The sequence below is a fragment of the Homo sapiens genome, chromosome 7 (assembly GCF_000001405.40).
Source record: "Homo sapiens chromosome 7, GRCh38.p14 Primary Assembly".
NCBI classification, from domain to species: Eukaryota; Metazoa; Chordata; class Mammalia; order Primates; family Hominidae; genus Homo; species Homo sapiens.
Window position 1 is genome coordinate 43504790 of NC_000007.14, and position 19445 is coordinate 43524234.

General features: G+C 42.8%; 1 protein-coding gene and 1 long non-coding RNA gene across 20 annotated transcripts in view; one reads left to right on the top strand and one right to left on the bottom strand.

Annotated features, from left to right (window-relative positions):
- HECW1 (HECT, C2 and WW domain containing E3 ubiquitin protein ligase 1) overlaps window positions 1-19445 on the top strand; it is a 453355-nt gene that overhangs the window by 392143 nt on the left and 41767 nt on the right. For all 19 annotated transcript variants that reach the window (NM_015052.5, XM_017011883.3, NM_001287059.2 and 16 more), the window contains 3 exons: window positions 2348-2468; window positions 3229-3342; window positions 4180-4332. In NM_015052.5, coding sequence (NP_055867.3) covers window positions 2348-2468; window positions 3229-3342; window positions 4180-4332 — 388 coding nt within the window. The remainder of the gene's footprint in view (window positions 1-2347; window positions 2469-3228; window positions 3343-4179; window positions 4333-19445) is intronic.
- Window positions 3939-17753, bottom strand: LUARIS (lncRNA upregulator of antiviral response interferon signaling). Its single transcript, NR_038276.1, has 3 exons — window positions 17499-17753; window positions 6194-7334; window positions 3939-5458 (listed from the first exon to the last, which is right to left on the bottom strand). It is a non-coding gene; the product is annotated as a lncRNA upregulator of antiviral response interferon signaling (long non-coding RNA).

Below are 19445 nucleotides of genomic sequence, written 5' to 3' on the forward strand. Positions count from 1 at the left end.
CCTCACTGAGAAGTTGAAGCCATCCAGCAGAAACTTCTTCAAAGGCCTGCCCACAAGGCTAGCAAACCTGTACACATCTTCTCTGTCATCTCTGGAGGTCACGAAAGGAGGTGTCCTCACTAAGGTCGCCATGAACTCTGGCCACCCAATCCAGCGGGCAGTTCTCAGCCTTCCTAATCTCCGGCAGCGTGTAACATGACCAACTGCTGTCCCCCAACATCCCCTCTTCAGTTTCCTTCTGGGACACCACTCCAGACATCTCATCTACTTCCCTGGCCATTCCCGCAGCCTCATCCTCCCCTTCTATCATCCTTAAGTCTCAAACCCAGGCTTTTTTCTCCACTCAAACTGTGTATCTCTCCAGACAAAGGGACTATCATCAAAGACCAAGTTCATGCTCTTCCCCCACAAATGTGTTCTTTTTCTACTCCTCCCCGTCTCAGTGAATGTCACCGCAGGGTGTTCAGTTACAAAATCTGAAACCCACCTCTCCTCCACTACCTGTATCCAATTCATTGCCTCTTAAATACATCTCCTCTCTGCCCACTTCACTTCATCTCCACTGACGCCAGCCTAGTCCCATTTGAGCTCTTTGAATCCCCCTTGGTCCTCTGGGGTTTTGTTCTTTTCTGCAGGAAGATGAATGTTTTTATGATTCAAGTGACATCATGCCAGCCACTATGCAAGGGCTTCCTACTACACTTAGCATAAAACAAAATTGCTTAACAATGTACCTTGTCCTGTTTCATGCAGCTCCTGCCCACCTCTCAGGCCTTGTTTTTGTACCACTTTGGTCCTTGGACTCTGTGCTCCAGACAAACTGGAGTACCGCTTTCCATTCCGCCACAGGACCTTTGCACATGCTGATCTTCCACCTGGAATGCTCTTCTTCTCCCAGCTCATCTCCTCTCTTAGTTAAAGCATAGCTTTTCTTGACCCATGCAATCTAATTTGTGCCTATTTATTCTTTAGATTGTCCCCAGAGAAGCCTTCCCAGACTTAGCCAGCAGATTCTGTGATCTCAAAGAACTGGTTTTCTTTCCTTCATGGATAGCAATCATTGTAACTTGTATTATATACTCATTTCTGAGAGTTTACCAGCATCAGTCTTCTCTAAATTGTAAGCTTAGTACCTGGAATATAGTAAGTAACTAATAAATGGTTATTGAATGGGCAAGCCTTGATTCTGACCACCTTTAAAACTTGGGTAAGAATGTTAATTTTCCATCCTTTTTTAAATTAAAAGGTATATATAGTAAAGTATTTACAAAGCACTCTAAATGAGACAAAAGTTCTCCTCTATGTAGAGTTAGTGAATTATTATTATTGTAAACTTTACTCTTATGATGCAAGGTCATCTAATATAAACTCTAATCTAATATAAACTCCTAAATGCTCTGAGCCTTTGTGTACAGGTATGTTTATTTGAGCATCAATATCAATACAGGAACATGATGGACACATGTACTAAAGTCCTACTTACCTCATTATAGTTTCAATCACTTCTTGTAGCAACTTACAAGAAAAGTTTAGTCTAGTTCAGCTTATGTTAATTATTTTAGATTATGCAAGTACAATTAAAGCTGAGAAAAATGCTCATCCATGTCCTTTTAAGAGAAATACAACTTGAAAGAATTAGAGAGGAAGACATAAATATTTATTCTCATTAGAACTCATAAATGAATGTAGTATATTATTTTTATACTTTAGTATATTATTTCTATTTATTATAAAAGTCACTGAGAGAGTGATGGAAATGAAGGGCTTGTGGGAGAAGAAAAATATGGAGATGCCAGAATGTGCCTCTGTTGAGCTCTTGCTCCACTGTCACTTTGTGTATTTGTTCTTCCACAGAAATTGATGACCTCATGCCTGTACTCCCAGCACTTTGGGAGGCCTAGGTGGGCGGATCACTTGAGGTCAGGAGTTCCAGACCAGCCTGGCCAATGTAGTGAAAGCTCATCTCTACTAAAAATACAAAAATTAACAAAAATTATCTGGGTGTGGTAGTGCATGCCTGTAATCCCAGCACTTTGGGAGGCCAAGGCGGGTGAATCACCTGAAGTCAGGAGTTTGAGACCAGCCTGGTCAACATGGTGAAACCCCGTCTGTACTAAAAATACAAAAAAAATCAGCCAGGTATGGTGGCACACACCTATGATCCCAGCTACTCGGGAGGCTGAAGTAGCAGAATCGCTTGAACCCAGGAGGTGGAAGTTGCGGTAAGCCGAGAGCACACCACTGCACTCCAGCCTGGGCAACAGAGCGAGACTCCTTCTCAAAAAAGAAAAAAAGAAGAAGAAGAAGAAGAAAGAAAGTGATGACCTCTGTGTGCTTCTCTCTGCAGGTTTACAGAGAGCCAGTGCAAGAGCCCCTTCCCCCTACCGAAGAGACTTTGAGGCCAAGCTCCGCAATTTCTACAGAAAACTGGAAGCCAAAGGATTTGGTCAGGGTCCGGGGAAAATTAAGTGAGTGCTCCAGTGCTTGGCACTGAATTCAGACAGTAGATTTTTCAATCCCTTTCTCCCCTACACCCTTGTAATATTGTTTTTGAGACTGGCTACTCTGGTGTGGTAGTGGTTATGGTCTGAAGCGGGGGAAGAAGGAAGTTGGGAAGCTGGAAGGAAAGAGGAAAGGACATTAAGAAATTGGAAGGGAAGCAGGAAGAGAAGGTAAGAGAGGGAAAGAGAATGAGAAAGAACAGAAGATTTTAGACAAAGGCATGTCGAAAATCACAGGGTAGACCTTTCCAGAAAACAAGAAATCTTGAACTAAATAAAAAATCTCATATTTCCCTTCACTTATTCTTGGGAAAAAAATTTAACTCATTGGTCAAATTTAAATTCTTGGTAACTTTGTAATTGAAGTCTAAGTAAAATGTTGTTTATATTTTCCCTTCTGGGTTTATTATTTTCATCTCAAAAAGCTGAACCCAAACTCAGGAATCTTAAGCAATATCCTATGAGTTGATCAAAATGAATTATCTTAAAAGTAGTTCCATATGATGGAATGCACGAGAAGTGTACACATTTTCCTTGTGCTCCTGATGTTTTGAAAAGTGTGTTCAGATAATCCCTCGATGAACTGACGGAACCTGGGTCCTGCTCTTTCCTCTCTCTTTGGAGAGGCTGGGGAGTGAGAACCTAAACCTGGACTCACAACTCACTTAGAACCCTGTCCAGCATCCTGACTTCAGGGCCACTGCTCACCACCCCTTCTCCTTCTCAGGCTCATTATTCGCCGGGATCATTTGTTGGAGGGAACCTTCAATCAGGTGATGGCCTATTCGCGGAAAGAGCTCCAGCGAAACAAGCTCTACGTCACCTTTGTTGGAGAGGAGGGGTGAGGCACCAGGAGTTTTATGCAGACACCTAAGCAAGGGTGGGCCAGAGCCTCAGGGTCAGGGGTGATTTTTCTCAAGAAGGAGCACAGTAGCTGTCAGTCTTCACCCCAATGCGATTCTGATCACATTCTCCCAGGAGGTCCTTCTTTTCAGGTATTGCCAAGCTTTAAAAAATGCCATGATCTTCAAAAACCTAAGATTATTGACATGCACAAGAGGATATGCCAACAATACAGTCCCAGGGCACTGAATCTTTCCTTTTTAGGTGGTGTACCCCTCTGAGTATCTAATTTAAAAAACTCTTTCTCTTAAAGTGCATGTATACAACTTCATGCCAAACTTTTCATATCATTTCAGTGATTTCATGGGAAACCACCTCAACCATGAAGGGCAAGCCCATGTAGGAAGGCGTATCAAAATGAACTTGGAAGCCTTTTCAGTCCACCCACATACACATACACACACACACATGCATGCACACATTCACTGTTGCAGGAAATTCTTTTATGTGTCCCACAACAAAGGCCTTGTATTCAATGGGCCAGCTGTGTGTTTTAGCTCAGAGGTGTTAGATGATCAAAAGAAAACACTAAGGAAAGCTGCCATAAGAGTTTATTCATGGACATCTGGTTAAGAAACATCTCCAAACCAATTACTGCATCCTCATTTTCTACAGCAAATTGATGCTGCCATTGGCATTCACTCCAAAGAGCAGAGGCTGCTCTCTGCTTTCCCCAGCACCCAACTCTGAAAGGGCACACTAGAATCTGGGTGCAAACAGGTCCCCCCACCTCCGGGCACAGAATGAGCTTCCTGGACCTCTGCTTTCTTTGCAGCCTGGACTACAGTGGCCCCTCGCGGGAGTTCTTCTTCCTTCTGTCTCAGGAGCTCTTCAACCCTTACTATGGACTCTTTGAGTACTCGGCAAATGATACTTACACGGTGCAGATCAGCCCCATGTCCGCATTTGTAGAAAACCATCTTGAGTGGTAAGCTCTATAATGTTCACTTTCTTGTATTTGAAAGTTCTCCTCTTTCTTAGTCAGAATTCAGCAGCATTTCTCAAAGGCCACTGTGTTTAGAGCAGTGGCCAGATGTTATGAGGGATGAGAGTGAATGACAGAGTCCAAGAAGGAAGAATCTGTTAGTCTTCACCCAGAACACAAGATGGATTTACCAAGGATGCTGATAATATAGCAACTGCAAATTGATGTGAGAAAGAATAATTGCCTACTGAGAAGACGCTAAGATCAGTAGACATAGGTCATGAATGTTGATAATTTTACTAAAATCATAGGGTCCCAGTGGAAGCTTCTTGGAGGTATTTATGGGTTTGAAATTCTTTCACCTTGGACCAGTGGCTTTAGCACTGTGGACACTGGCTTCTGCATCTTACTGTAAAATATGGCTATTGGGTCAGATGATCTCTAAGCATTCTTCTGACTTGAAAATCCAGTATGTCTTTGGTTCCTGGGTGGTCTGCTGTTGAGGCATTCTATTACCACTTACCTATATGTATAAGAAGATTGGTATCACTCAATGCTGTGCAGTTTTGTGGTGCAGATGTGGGTATTAGAGGTCTCCAGAAAGCTGCTGGGACACCTGGGATGCAGGCACTTTCCTGCTGCATCACCACATGCCTGATTTGAAAATTACCGCTGTTCTGACTGCAGGAGCTCCTGCTGTTGAGAGGGAAATGAGTCCTGGAGATGGCTAATGTGAGTTCTTCTGACATGACTTATTTATGCTGCTGTTGAAGGGAGCCATTGGGGTGACACCTGGGCCTGCTGGCCTTAGAACCCAAGTTCCTATAGTTTGGCTATAGAGCATCAGTATAACCCACCTGTGCTAAGGCTTCCAGATATTGCACATGCCTTCTCTCCAAATGCACTCCCAGCCCTGAAGTTCTTGAGATGAGGTAGAGTGAGTGAGTACACATCGAGGGTTTGGCACAAGATGAAACAAAACGTGCCCTTTGTTGCCCCAGAACTTGTGAATAAGTGGATGATGGAGCAGAGCAGACAAGTCACCGTGGACGGGCCCAAGAATGGAATCTGCCTCTCACTGAGCTCACATTCAGGCAGGCTCCATTCTGATGGTAGAGAGTGCTATGACCTGTAACACAGGAATATACACATACACAGATTATACCTAATACAATCCCTCAACTAGCTCTTAGTTTGTGAGCATGAAATTTAAGATGGTGTCTTAGAGATCATGAATTGGAATCAGCAATCAACAGAGAAATATTTTCATCAAATATCTTACCATATAAGACTATGCTGGATAGCATCAGGAATACCTTCGCTAATTTAACAATTATAAATTAAGCACATAGTATGTTCTGGGAGGATACAAACATAAAATGAGCAAGGTCTCATGCCTCAAAGAGACTAGTGTGAGGAACACATGAGCCAACCAACAATTACAATACAATAGCTTAAATGCTCACTTATACGCACATATACATATGTGGGCATATGTTTGCCTGAGATACATAGATAAGCCTGAGAATTGTATTCAATCACAAGGGAAAAATATCGCACTCTGTCCAAGTTAGGGGGTCAGGGAGTGGGGAGTGGAGTCTGTGAATCTTTCAAAAAGAGGAGACGGTGGCATAGGACAACAGGGACAAGTACCACGGTGGGATGAATGGAAGCTGACGTTTGAAGAAAACCTTGGTGTCAAGCATGTTTCAGTGCAGCCACAAAATAAGGCCACAGGTGAAGGCCTGATGGGAAGCACAGAAGATACTGTGGCCCACACTTGGCTGGACTACCTGTTAAAAGTGGCCTCCGTCACTTTCCACAGTGACCATGCCTTGCCTGCTGCCCCGTCCCTGCAACCAACCTGGCTTTGTGGCCTTCTGCTCATCTATGCATTGCAGGACTGAAGAAGCTTTATAGATGTGTCCGTTACACTTCATCACATTAAGGAAGGAAATTGTGTGATACAGGGATTTTGCAAGAATTACCAAAGTTCTCTGGATGGATCCCTGATGAGGGCTTGACAGTGCCTGTCCTCGAAATGCAGGTTAACCGCTGTGTCCTTTGTTAGAGGACTTGGCCCCGCACTAAGCATGCTGAGTTTCATCCACTGATGTTCTCCCTCATGTGGAGAGTATTTGTGGTGCATCCTGGAAACGCAATTGCAGGTAGCTTTCTGAGCCGACTAGCAATCTAAACTGAGCCCACGGTGATGAGATTTTCTTCAACGCCACTCTTTGGATGCTGCTGACTTGTGATGAAATGGGCAGGGAACCCTTATGATTTAAAGCTGCGACTCTGAATGCCTCAGTCCCGAGAGTCCTCAGCCTGGCATGCAGAACAAGCCCCTTCACCTCCACGGGGTCAGAGATCAGATTGTATCATGACCCTCCATGTGGAATCACACTTTTCTTCTCTTATCAGTGGCTCCAAATTTCTGAGCAAGGGAAACTGGTTTTCTTTGCACAGAGCCACAGCTGACTGAATGTAAGCCACCTAGGAAGAGTCTCATTTAGATTTCAACAGGAAGCCCTGATCAGCTTTGGGACATCTTAACAAAACCATGATGCTGCAGTTATTCCTTTTGTTTATTTTTTGTTATTTTCTTGTGCCATGTGGCAAATAGTTTAACAAACAAAACATGCAGGTTTCACCTATCTTGTGCCCCTGAGTGGCTCGTTAAGCTCTTTGGCCAGCATTTTAGCAAAGGGAAGCTAGGAGAGCCCAGATCTGGTGATGTGGCTTTGGGTATTTTGCACAAAATGCTGGCAGTGTGTGGGTGCTGTGGCACCTGCCTGAAGACCTGTCGCTGTCATTTCTGCAGCCCGCAGGTCCATGACACTCAGGAAACCAGAATCCTGAGTCCTCAAATCTGATCGCTCACGACTGGTACCACTGGCTGCCTCTTAACTGCCCACAGCGTGGGCGTAGCTGCTGCTGATCTCGGGTCGGTGTCAGGTGCTCCTTCCACCTTCTGAGGGAGTTCATCAGGAGATTCATGGAGGCTGTGAAGAGGATGACAATCATCAGAGCCTGTGCATCACTCATAAGGAAACGGAGAAACCAAAAGATTACAAGGCTTTCTATGGGCACAGCCTTGACTTTGTAAAGCAGGACATTGTCCCTTGACACAGGACAAGCCAGGGCAGGATTTGGCCTGCAGGAAGGACAGAGGTGCCTTAATGGACACCCACGCCCTGCCCACCTCCCTTCACTCTGGAATCAGAGATAAGCATAACCACAGACCCGAAATAAACATGGCAAACCAGGTCAGCTTCAAAAGTTGTTGTTGGTTTTTTCCAAAAATAGAAATTTTATTCTCTAGTGAGGCATTATCAGAAAATGCTGTGAAATTGGTATTCATATTTTATAAAATTTATAAATGTGTAAAACGCTGATGAGCTAAATGGATCTATTTTGTACTGCTGAGCATAATTTTATATGTTATCATAATCATTAATAAAAATTAGATGAATTTAAAAGTCAGTTGCTTGTAGGCTAGTGAAATAGTGAAAGGACTAGAGTTTTCCTTTAACTGGAAGAATTATTACTGCTTAACATACACACATTTAATACCGATTGGTTTGCTATGGAGGAATAACTGAGAAACCAAATGCACTGAGTAGAGTTTATATGAATGTTTCAACACAGCTGCTCTTACATGATTATATTTTTTTAATGCCTAGCAAAAATCCATTATAAGGCTTCAAAGGATTAAACATCACTCAGGATTGACACGGTACTCAGCTGTGGCTGGAGGCAGCAACTTTGCAGTGGTCAATTTTATCTTTTTTTGTTGTTGTTATTCTGCTTCTTTATCCTTCGCTGACCTTCTTCTGCGTCCCATCCTCTTACACATTTTCTGAGTTCCCTCTAAAAAATAAGCTCTATTGGAGCAGAGACACTTTTGTCTTATTTCACTCTAGCACAACACCTGGCACTTTCAGGTGTTCAGAACATCTCCCCGACCACTGGGTGCATAAATGAGTATTATTCCACAAGTCCTACCAGTCTCTTCCTTCTACCAGGGTTAAGATTAATAAAGTGCTCCCTCCTGCCATGTGCAATTAATTGCTCAAATTTCACACTTTTCTGTATTATCTGTGGTTTTAAAGCCCTTGCAAAGTCAGTGATAAATGCACATGTCCCTTAAGATCTTTACACTCTGGGACTCTGCTCTCCACGACGCGTGAATGCTGCTTGTTACTGAAGGAAGGCCTCCTCCTTCTTCTCACACTGCACGTGGTCCTGCAGCGGCCACTTCCAGGCAAGGCACTGCCCAAAGACATCAATGGAGAAACCCCTGACAGTGTGTCCTTCCTCTGAAAGCTCCCCTTTGAGAGTGGGTACTTGACATTCTGGGCTTCCTGCTCCCTGTGTGTGGGCTTTGTATCCATTGGAATAGAGCCAGCTTAATCAAAAGCCCTAGCAGGGCATCATGATTCCACCCACTTCCTTTCTTTCTCGTGCAGTGTTGAGACATACGAATATGAATAAATATAGTGAAAATTCTGTGTTACACACGTTAAGTAAGCTGGAAAAAAAAACTGTTTGTGGGTTTTGGTTTTTTTTTGTTTTTTGCTTTTGGTCAGGATTTTTGATTTTTGTTTTGTTTTGTTGCCTTTGACCTAAAGAGACTTTCTGCAATTGCTGTTTCATTACTTATTTGTACGACTGACTTCCAAACTGAAAGGACCATGTCAAAGTCAGCAGTGATAATATTCAGGCCAAAGAGAAAGAGGAGTTAGAGTCAGAAGAGCTCTTTCAAAGCTGGAGCCTATAAGGGACCACCCATGGACACTGTGGTCACTCAAGGACACAGCCCCTGCGAGACCTGGCCACAGCAGGGCAAAGCAGGGAAATAACACTCTCAATCAACACTCTTCTTCCACCCTCCAGTCCCAATGGCCAAACCCAACCATGAACCAGAGGACAGAGGCTCTCCAGATACTGCAACCCACAGTGGCCAGTCCCTAAGTCACAGAGCAGGACAGAAAAAGATGGGAAATTAGTGGAGGACAGGAGAGCAGGGAATGGAAAATTACCACAAGAGCCTCTACATTTCAGGACATTCAACCCATCCACCAGAAATCTTATAATTTACAGAACAGTATGTGTCTGTTGTGTCTTTGATGACAGAAGTCTTGGAATACTATTCCAAATTTCTTTTTTCTTTTCTTTTCTTTTTTTTTTTTTTGAGATGGAATTTCGCTCTTGTCCCCCAGGCTGAGTGCAATCTTTGCTCACTGCAACCTCCACCTCCTGGTTCAAGCAAGTCTCCTGCCTCAGCCTCCCAAGTAGCTGGGATTACAGGCACATGCCACCACGCCCAGCTAATTTTTGTATTTTTAGTAGAGACGGGGTTTCACCATGTTGGACAGGCTGGTCTCAAACTCCTGACCTCAGGTGATCCATCCTCCTTGGCCTCCCAAAGTGCTGGGATTACAGGCGTGAGCCAACGTGCCCAGCCTATTCCACATTTCATATCTTCATTCTTTGATTATGATGATGTCATTTGCATATTGATGAGGCACTCATATGCTACTTTTTTATCCTTTTCATATTTATTGTATCCTGATTTTCTATCTTTAGGGATACATAATTTAATAATTAAGCTAAATAATGAAGGATCCATTGAGAACATGCTAAATATACCAGGCACTGTCTAACAACATTATAACCCAGATATAATGTTATTATTACAACATTATAACCCACATACTGAGTTATCCTACTTTTACAGATGAGGAAAATGAGGTGCAGACATAAACAAAGCCACAGAGATAGTCGAGGACCAGGTAGGAATAGGAACCCAGGTATCATGGCTCTATCATCAGGATCTAGCCCCCATTCAAAGGCAAAGTCAGATATATAATTGGTCAAATTAAAATACAATGTGACCAATGCTGTGCATACCTCTATTATAGTGCTTATCACATTGTATTGTAATAATGAGGTACAAGGAACTTTGGAAAAATGAATGAGAATAATTGGCTGGCAGAGAAGAGGAGTGGGGAATTCTAGATGGAGGGCCCAGCATTCACAGCAGATGTCAGTTTGGTGTGGCCTCAGAAGAGAGAAAGAGGCTGGAAAGGCATCCTGGTGTCGGGTAGGGAAAAGCATTTGATGGCATTCCCAGGCGTTTGGGTTTTGTCATGAAGATGACAATGACAGGGAGCCAGGCATTTCATTAGTAAAGGAAGAGCCTGATCAGATCTTTATTAAACTCAGAAAGTCAACTCTGGTTACAAGTGGAAGATGAACTGGAGTGGGCAATAGGGGTGTCATTTAAGAGGCTAGTGAAATAGTTGTAGGAAGAGATATTAAAGAATCAAAATAGGGCAGAAGCAGTAGAAATGGAAAGATTTTTCAGAAGGAGCATGAACAAATGAATGAACAAAACTTGGTGATAGATTATAAATGGTGGGAAGTTAAGTATATGACAGGCTAAATAGCTTGAAATGACACTGGTGAGCACCTAAAATTCTACCAAATACTTATCAGTGCAAAGACACCTTTTTAAAAATCAACCTACCATTCCTTCTTTATGTAGTACCCTCTATTTTAAATGATACTTCTTTATAATCTGAATTAGCCAGATTATAGTAGCACACTCCCAGATGCTGTGAGATATGTTATTTCAACATTTTTAATATTTACCAAAACTTTGTGTCATTGGAAACTCTTCACTTACTTGCTGCAAAATTATATATAAGAAACTACCAAGTTAAAATGCTCGCATATTTTGAATGGAGGCATAAAAAACAAAACTATAAATGAATTGTGAAAGGTCCAAATTTATTTTTATGTCTAATACAATGCATGAATATTGCAAATGCATATAGTTTCAAACTATTATGTTTATATAGGAAAGATTCACATTTAAGTTCAAACATTCCCTTCTCTAAGGGTCTTTCCTGAGCACTCAATTTAAAATAGTGCATCCATTTATAATTTTCCAACTTAACATCTTACTTTAATATATTGACTGAATTTATCACTATAAAAAGTATTAATATGTTTATAATTCGTTGTCGTTTCTTCCCGAAAATGTAAGCCCAGTGAGACCAGAGTCTTGGCTGTAGCTTTCCTAGTCACATACTTGGCGCTCAGTAAATATGTGTGGAAGGAAGGAAGGAAAAAAAGAAAGGAGGGAGGGAAGAAGACAGGCTGGACAGATAGACGGATGGTTGAGTGGAAGGATGGATGGACGGATGGAATACTTCTCAGGTAAAACTTCTTGGTTAATGAGAATTTTTATCTCATTTCAATTTTTAGTTCAGAATATTTAAACTAAAATAAAATAAATAAAAACAGTAAAAATAAATAAGTAAATTTGGAGCCTCTCACTCATTGTTGAGTGTCATTTAAGCTCCTACCAACTATTCTCTCTGAAATCACCACTGGAAATTCTTTTTGTCCCAATCATTCTGAATGTCACTTTTCCTGGAGCAAATCTGAGATGCCCTAAAAGTCTGAACAACTGAAATAGGTGAGTTCCTTCTCTATTCCTAGGAAGAATACCAGCGCCTCAGACACATTTTCTTTGTCTTAAGTACAGTCATGTGTCAGTTAACGACAGGGATACCTCTGAGAAATGCATCACTAAGCAATTTTATCATTGCGTGAACATCATAGAGTGGAATTACACAAACCTAGATGGCAGAGCCTACCTCACACCTATGCTCTATGCTATAGCCTATTGCTCCTGGGCAACAAACCTGCACAACATGTTACTGTACTGAATACCTTAGGCAACTGTAACACAATAGCAAGTATTTGTGTATCTCAACATAGCTAAACATAGAAAAAGTACAGTAAAATTATTGTATAGAAGATAAGAAATGGTACACCTGTATAGGGCAGCTCCGTTATAATCTTTTGAGACCGCCGTTGTATATGTGGTCTGTCATTAACTGAAATGTGGTTATGTGGCCTATGCTTGTGCTAACATGTATCATTTTAAGAAACGACTACGTTATGAGTCACTCTTTACATAATTGTCAGTGTGAGAAGGATTTTCAGGGCCAGATTTCAGATTTGATGCTGTTAATCAGTTTCTCTGCAGCCACCAAAATGTCTGTGAGCTCATTTATGTCTGTGGTGGTGACGAATCTAACCTTACAGTTGTCACAATCAGACATTTTACCACCTCTCAAACCAAAATTTCCAAGAGGATCCCAAGGCCCTTTGCTAACTGCAAAATAAACAGACTCCCCTGCCCCCTTCTGCCCCAGCCCCGACCTCTCTCCCTTCCCAAGCAGATACTACCTGGGTGGTAAAAATCTTCTGTTTTCAGGTCTTTAGCAAGGGGAAGTGGGGGAGGAGGGAAGCTCTTTTGTGCATGTTTAGAGTTTGGCCAAGTGGGTAAGTGGGTATTAAGTGTAATTGTAGAGTTTTATGGAACTTAAGAAGTCCCGGATAACACATTTTAAATATCCCTTGCTACATCTGCAGAGTCTTGAATTAGTAGGTAGAAACCACAACATTATGAGATCCCACTGGGTGTCTCATGGCCCTTCAACCTCCCAGGGCCCTCCTGACAAAAGAGCTCAGTGTGGACTTTTGATCTGAGTTTAAGATCAGGTAAGCCCCAGCCCCAGCCCTACCCCTAACAACAGCCCCTGGGTTCTTTCACGAACACCTACAAGAGCTTTGCTGACCCCATCTCTGGCTGAATCTCAGTAGCCTCCCTATCAATTCTCAAAGAAGATGTGGAGCAAAAGTTAGATGAGAAGTCACCATAGAATGTACGGGATTGGTTGGGATTCTGCCTGTCCTATTTCTGAACCCAGCTTTCTTCAGAATGTGTGAGAAACTTCCAGTAGGAAAAGAATTAACTATTTAGTTAATGATGCCAGTACTGTAACTGGGTATGCAACCAAAAGAAAATTATGTTAGATTCCTCTCTACTTTGAAAATACGTGAAAAAAAGGAATGAAATTTCTTCAGGAAAATCTAGGTGAATTTATGCATATGCTAGAACATAAAAATTATTGAGAACATAAAATGAACTCAAGAAACCTTGAGTGGTAGAGACCTTTTTAGAGACAATCTTTTTAATCAACAACTAGAATCTATAAAAGAAAAGAAAGGCCGGGCACAGTGGCTCACACCTCTAATTCCAACACTTTAGGAGGCCAAGGCGGGTGGATCACTTGAGGTCAGGAGTTTGAGACCATCCTGGCCAACATGGTGAAACCCCATCTCTACTAAAAAATACAAAAATTAACCAGGCCTAGTGGCACATGCCTGTAATCCCAGCTACTCAGGAGGCTGAGGCAGGAGAATTGCTTGAACCCAGGTAGCAAAGGTTGCAGTGGGCCTGGATTGCGCCACTGCACTCCAGCCTGGGCAACAGAGTGAGACACCATCTCAAAAAAAAAAAACGTATTTGAATATATAAAAGTTAAAATACTTTCTGACAAAAATACCATAAACAAGGTCAAAAGACAAGCTTTGATCTTGAAAATTAATCTTTGCAACTCAAGAAAATCAGAGGTTGAAAATCTGTAATACAAATTTCAAAGAGCTCTTGCAACTTGAAAAAAAGAGGAGATACAACCCTGGGAAAACTGGTAAAGAATATGAAAAAGTTGGTCAGAGAAGAACAAATTCAAATGATTGATAAACCCATTAAAAAATGTCAACTTTTCCAGTGGTGAAGGAAATGAAAACTAAGGTAACAATGATATATCACCTTATAACGATCAAATTGCCAAAAATTGAAGAGTTATTTATTTTTGGAGGGGACATAAGTAAAAGGATGCTTTCATGCATTGTTGGTAGAAACATGCATGAAAGCAATTTTATAGCCTTTCAGGGGGGAATGCAATCCACAATATAAACTAAAATTTTTAAAACCCCTATACCCTTTAGCCCATAAAGTTATCTCATAGAAACAAAAGCACTAATATTCAGTACTTTTGTAATAACAGGTAATATTTATTGAGCCCTTATTATGGGCCAGGTATTTTTGCAAAGGCTCAACATGAATTACATAACCTAGTATAATCCTCTATTTTACAAATGAGGAAACTCATACCCATAGAGGTTTAAACTTGCCCAATACAAGAGCTAGTAAGTGACAGAGGTAGGGAGCAATCACATGCAGTCTGACTCTAGAGTGCAGACTTTTTTTTTTTTTAGACAGAGTCTTGCTCTGTCACCAGGCTGGAGTGCAATGGCACGATCTTGGCTCACTGCAACCTCCACCTTCCTGGTTCAAGCGATTCTCCTGCCTCAGCCTCCTGAGTAGCTGGGACTACAGGCGCCCACTATCACACCCGGCTAATTTTTGTATTTTTAGTAGAGACGGGGTTTCACTATTTTGGCCAGGCTGGTCTCAAACTCCTGACTTCATGATTGGCCCGTCTCGGCCTCCCAAAGTGCTGGGATTACAGGCGTGAGCCACCGCGCCTGGCCTAGTGCAGACTTTTAAAAGCTATGCTGGACTGCCGCACAAAACACCCAGGTGTGTTTATTTCAGCATTGTTTGTAAAGACACAAACCTAGAAGCAATGCAAATGTCCATCGGCAGGGGAATGGTTAAATGTATTACAGCAGATCCACACTGCACAGTCATATGAGGCATAAAAAAGACTGAATTAGAACCTTACCAGGTGATAGAGAAAGATTTCCTCAAGATATTGTTGAGAGAAGAAAAGCAGAAAAGCATGAAAAACGCAATTCAAAAACTGAAAAATAGTAACCCCAAGCCTGTGTGTATGTAGCTAGAGATATGTAAATATAAATATATTAGTATGTGATTATATGATTCAGATAAAAAATATGGAAGGGCACATTTTAGATTATCAATATGTGTCACAGGAGATGAGCCGAGGTAACAGGAGCCAGCCATGCCAGGAGAAGCCAAAGTCTATATAAAAATTACATCTGTGGGTAAAAAATAAATAAATCTCTTACAGCCAAGATGCCATTTGGTAAAAATGTCTTAGCTTAATTATTAGTGGTAAACAAATGTCTTAGATATGCATTCATCAATGCACTATTCTTATCACCTAAGGACTTGATGCTGGGTTCTACAAACTGTTCTACACATGAGCTCCTGGCATATTGTGAATGCCTCATGTATATGGTACAACTATGCTCACCCTACCCTGGGTCTCTTCCCTTCTTTATCTCTTTTTCCATTTATCCCCCCTTTACTCAGCACAGACCTCTTTACTAATTCCCTACTGTCTACGAAATGGAGTCTGGACTCCTCGGATTCTCAGGACAGCCAAAGCACGAGGACCACCTGCCTTGAGACACCATCTGCCTCTCCCGGGCAGCTCCTCCTCTGCCCTCCCCACGCTTCCTTAGGCTTTGCTCTGCTGCCCATATGTGCGCGATTGTTTCTTCTGTTCTTCTTCTCTCATTTACATGGGCGCAAATTTCCTACCCTGAAAATCCACTTAAAATACTGTGTAGTTCATTCATGATTTCTTCATGATTTCCTGCACCTTCTCAAGACAAATATGTTCATCTTCTCTTGAATTATTTTTTTATTATTATTATTCTACTTTAAGGTTTTTTTTAAAAAAAACACAAAGGTTTCCAAACCCTTTTAGCTGGAACCTTGTTCTCCAATCTAGAACAGACGAAAGTGAAGCCTTGCCTCTGGCAAGGAGGGGTGCCTGGTTCACTGAGCCCCTCAGGCTCTTCCTCCTCCCCATCTCTATGCTTCTGTGCAAAATAGCTTGAGAAAGCACTGCTCTAATCTACTGTCTGCGTCTCTCCTTCCATCCCTCCCTGGCCACTTTGTGTTAGCTTTTAAACTGGATCAGGGCAACATCTTATTGTTCAGGTTTGCCCTCTGCAGCCAGCGTGGTTTCTGGCATGGAGGCAGCACCCTTCAGGTCCTGAGGCAGGTGCCACACAGCAAAAGGCAAACCCAGGTTTCATGCCTGCTCCAACTCTCAGTAGAACCTGGGCAGCTTTCTTAACCTATCTGAGTCTCAGCCTCCTAGTTCACCAAAAGGACATAAGAGTGCCTGATGTGGTTTGACGGATGCGTCTCTCAGAATTCATATGTTGAAACTTAATCACCAACGTGATGATATTAAGAGGTGGGGCCTTTAAGAAGTGATTAAACGATGAGGGCAGAGTCATGAATGGGAGTAAGGCCCTTATAAAAGGCCTTGAGAGAGTGAGTTTGCCCACTAGGTACAGTAGCACCACCACGATCACCCCCAGCTGTCACAACCAAAAATGTTTCCAGACATTGCCACAATTCTCCTAGGAGGCAAAATCACTCTGTTGAGAATCACTGTTTTCATGATGGAAGACTGGAAAAAGAAAAGGTTAAGCAAAATTTTTGCAGGATTAAAAGTATTTCTGTAGGCCTAGAGTTTTAGGAAAACATTTTCAGCCTTGGAATACGTCATGGCTGCGGGTTGAATATATGTGTTTTTCCAAAATTCATAGGTTGAAACTTAACCCCCAAGGTGATGGTATTAAGAAGTCAGACCTTGGCTGGGCAAGGAAAGTCATGCCTGTAATCCCAGCACTTTGGGAGGCCAAGGCGGGTGGATCACCTGAAGTCAGGAGTTCAAGACCAGTCTGACAACATGGTGAAACCCCATCTCTACTAAAAATACAAAAATTAGCCAGGCGTGGTGGCACATGTCTGTAATCCCAGCTACTCAGGAAGGCTAAGGCAGGAGAATCGCTTGAACCTGGGAGGCAGAGGTTGCAGTGAGCCTAATTGCATTGCACTCCAGCCTGAGCAACAAAAGCAAAACTCCATCTCAAAAATAAACAACAACAGAAAAAGAAGTGAGGCGTTTGGGAAAGTGATTAAGTCATGAGGGCTCCACCTTTGTGAATGGGATCAGTCCCCCTATAAAAGAGGTTGAAGGGAGTGGCCTAGTCCCTTTTGCTCTTCCCATTCTGCCATTTGAGGATACCGCAAGGTGTCCATCTTAGAAGCAGAGAACAAGGCCTTACCAGACCCTGAATCTTTTGGCACCTTGATCTTGGATTTCTCAGCCTTCAGAGCTGTGAGAAATAAATTTCTATTATTTATAAATTACTCAAGCCATGGTATTTTGTTATAGCCACAGGAATGAACTAAGACACTCACATATTAGACTTCTCTGATTATTGGACCAGCATAACTGAACCACACACTTTAGTTTTCAAATGTTGGCAACTGAAGAACTTACTTTAAGTAATGACCTTCAAGTAATGACCAGGTGAGTCTCGGTGCAGTTAGTCCACTGAGTTCATGTCCTGATTCCCTGCTAGTCCATCCAGAAGAGAATCTCCCAGATGCTGTTATCATTTGCTTCCCAAGACAGTTGCCTCCTGGACTGAGTCAGAGGGAAAAGCTTAGATAGAAGCCACACCTCTGTCTCCAGCCATAAGCGGGCTGCTGGAAGGATTCCCACAGAGTTGCCATGGGCTCTTCATGAAGGCTGGAGGTTAGCTATGGCCCTGGCGTGCTCTCACCTGCCCCACAACAGCCACCTCACCCTCCAAGCAGGCCTGCAGCTGCGCAGGAGTTCTAGACACCATGCCTCAGTCCTCCCACAGGCCAAGAGGGAAAAATTACAAAGCAAACCACTGGTGGGGATGCCAGGGCCTACACCAAACCCCCTATTAGCTGTGGAGACAGGAGACTAGCCTGTGGCCAAACCCTGAACTCAGCCCACAAGAATGTGCACGGAGCACAGGGAATGACAGCAATGCTGGCCTTGGTATAAAAGCCAGGAGCAGGGAAATTTGATTGTGCCAGGAGGACAGGGAGCTGCAGAGAATCAAAACTCTGCTTCCCTAATATTTATTCCAAAAACAGCTCCGTGGTGGGGATGTTATTGCTGGCACTTCCGCCTACTCTTTGTACTGTGTGTTCTCTTTCCAAAGGTAGTTCTGCTTGTTTGTTTGTTTGTTTGTTTTGAGATGGAATTTCGCTCTTGTCCCCCAGGCTAGAGTGCAATGGTGCGATCTTGGCTCACTGCAACCTCCTCCTCCCAGGTTCAAGCAATTCTCCTGCCTCAGCCTCTCAAGTAGCTGGGATTACAGGTGTGTGCCACCAGGCCCGGCTAATTTTTGTGTTTTTAGTACATAAGGGGTTTCTCCATGTTGGCCGGGGGGGGTCTCGAACTCCTGACCTCAGTTGATTCACCTGCCTCGGCCTCCCAAAGTGCTGGGATTATAGTCATGAGCCGCCATGCCTGGCCTTGCTCGTATTTTTAAACACCAGCATCAAACAGCCCTGAAAACTGCTCTTTCTAGGAGCTTGGCTTTGTGGGGCCGCTAGAAGGATGCAAGGCCTTTGAGGAGACAATGTCAGAAGAGAGAGAAATCTTGAATTATAAGAGAGAGCAAAAAGTGGATGGAAGAAGAGCCCAGAGGAGGCAGGGAAAGACAATAGATAGCCCAAGTGAAGACATTAGCTTTGAAAGAGAGTCAGCCCCAGCAGGAGAATTGCTTGAACCCGGGAGGTGGAGGTTGCAGTGAGCAGAGATCTCGCCATTGCACTCCAGCCTGAGCAACAAGAGGGAAACGCCATCTCGAAAAAAAGAAAAGAGTCAGCCCCTTTTTCCTTGAGATCGAGGGAAATAAATGGCAAGTGTAGATTGCAGATGTACTTACTAATGAGAGAGGCGCCGAAAGCAAGAACCAGAGGGAGGGAGAGGCTGGTGATATGAGGGGGATTAGATAAAAAGAAGACCCCCCCAATTAGTGGGGTGTAAGGAGGCAAGGATGCATGTGCCTGCAGGCGGTGGTGTGAGAGGAGGCCAAGTGGAGCCATTCATACTCTCAGCTTCTAGAAAAGCCTCTGTCCTCCATCCCTTCTTCCAGTATCCATGAGGAAATGCAATGAGTGATGCCTAAGGCAAAAAACTTCACTTTTGACCTTCAGACTATGTTTTTCATCTTAAAAAAAAAGATGAGGGACTTGGAATGGGTGGTTCTCAAATTTTAGTCGGCAACTGCAGAATTTATTTTAAATGCAGATTTCCATAACCCACCCCATAGAGTCTGATCTCCAGGTACCTAGATCTTAACAAACACCCCAGGGATTCAGATACCAATGGAAGGGTCACCACCACCTTTGAGAAATTTTGCCTTAGATGTTAGCAGCGTCAAGAGTCTTTCAAAGAGTG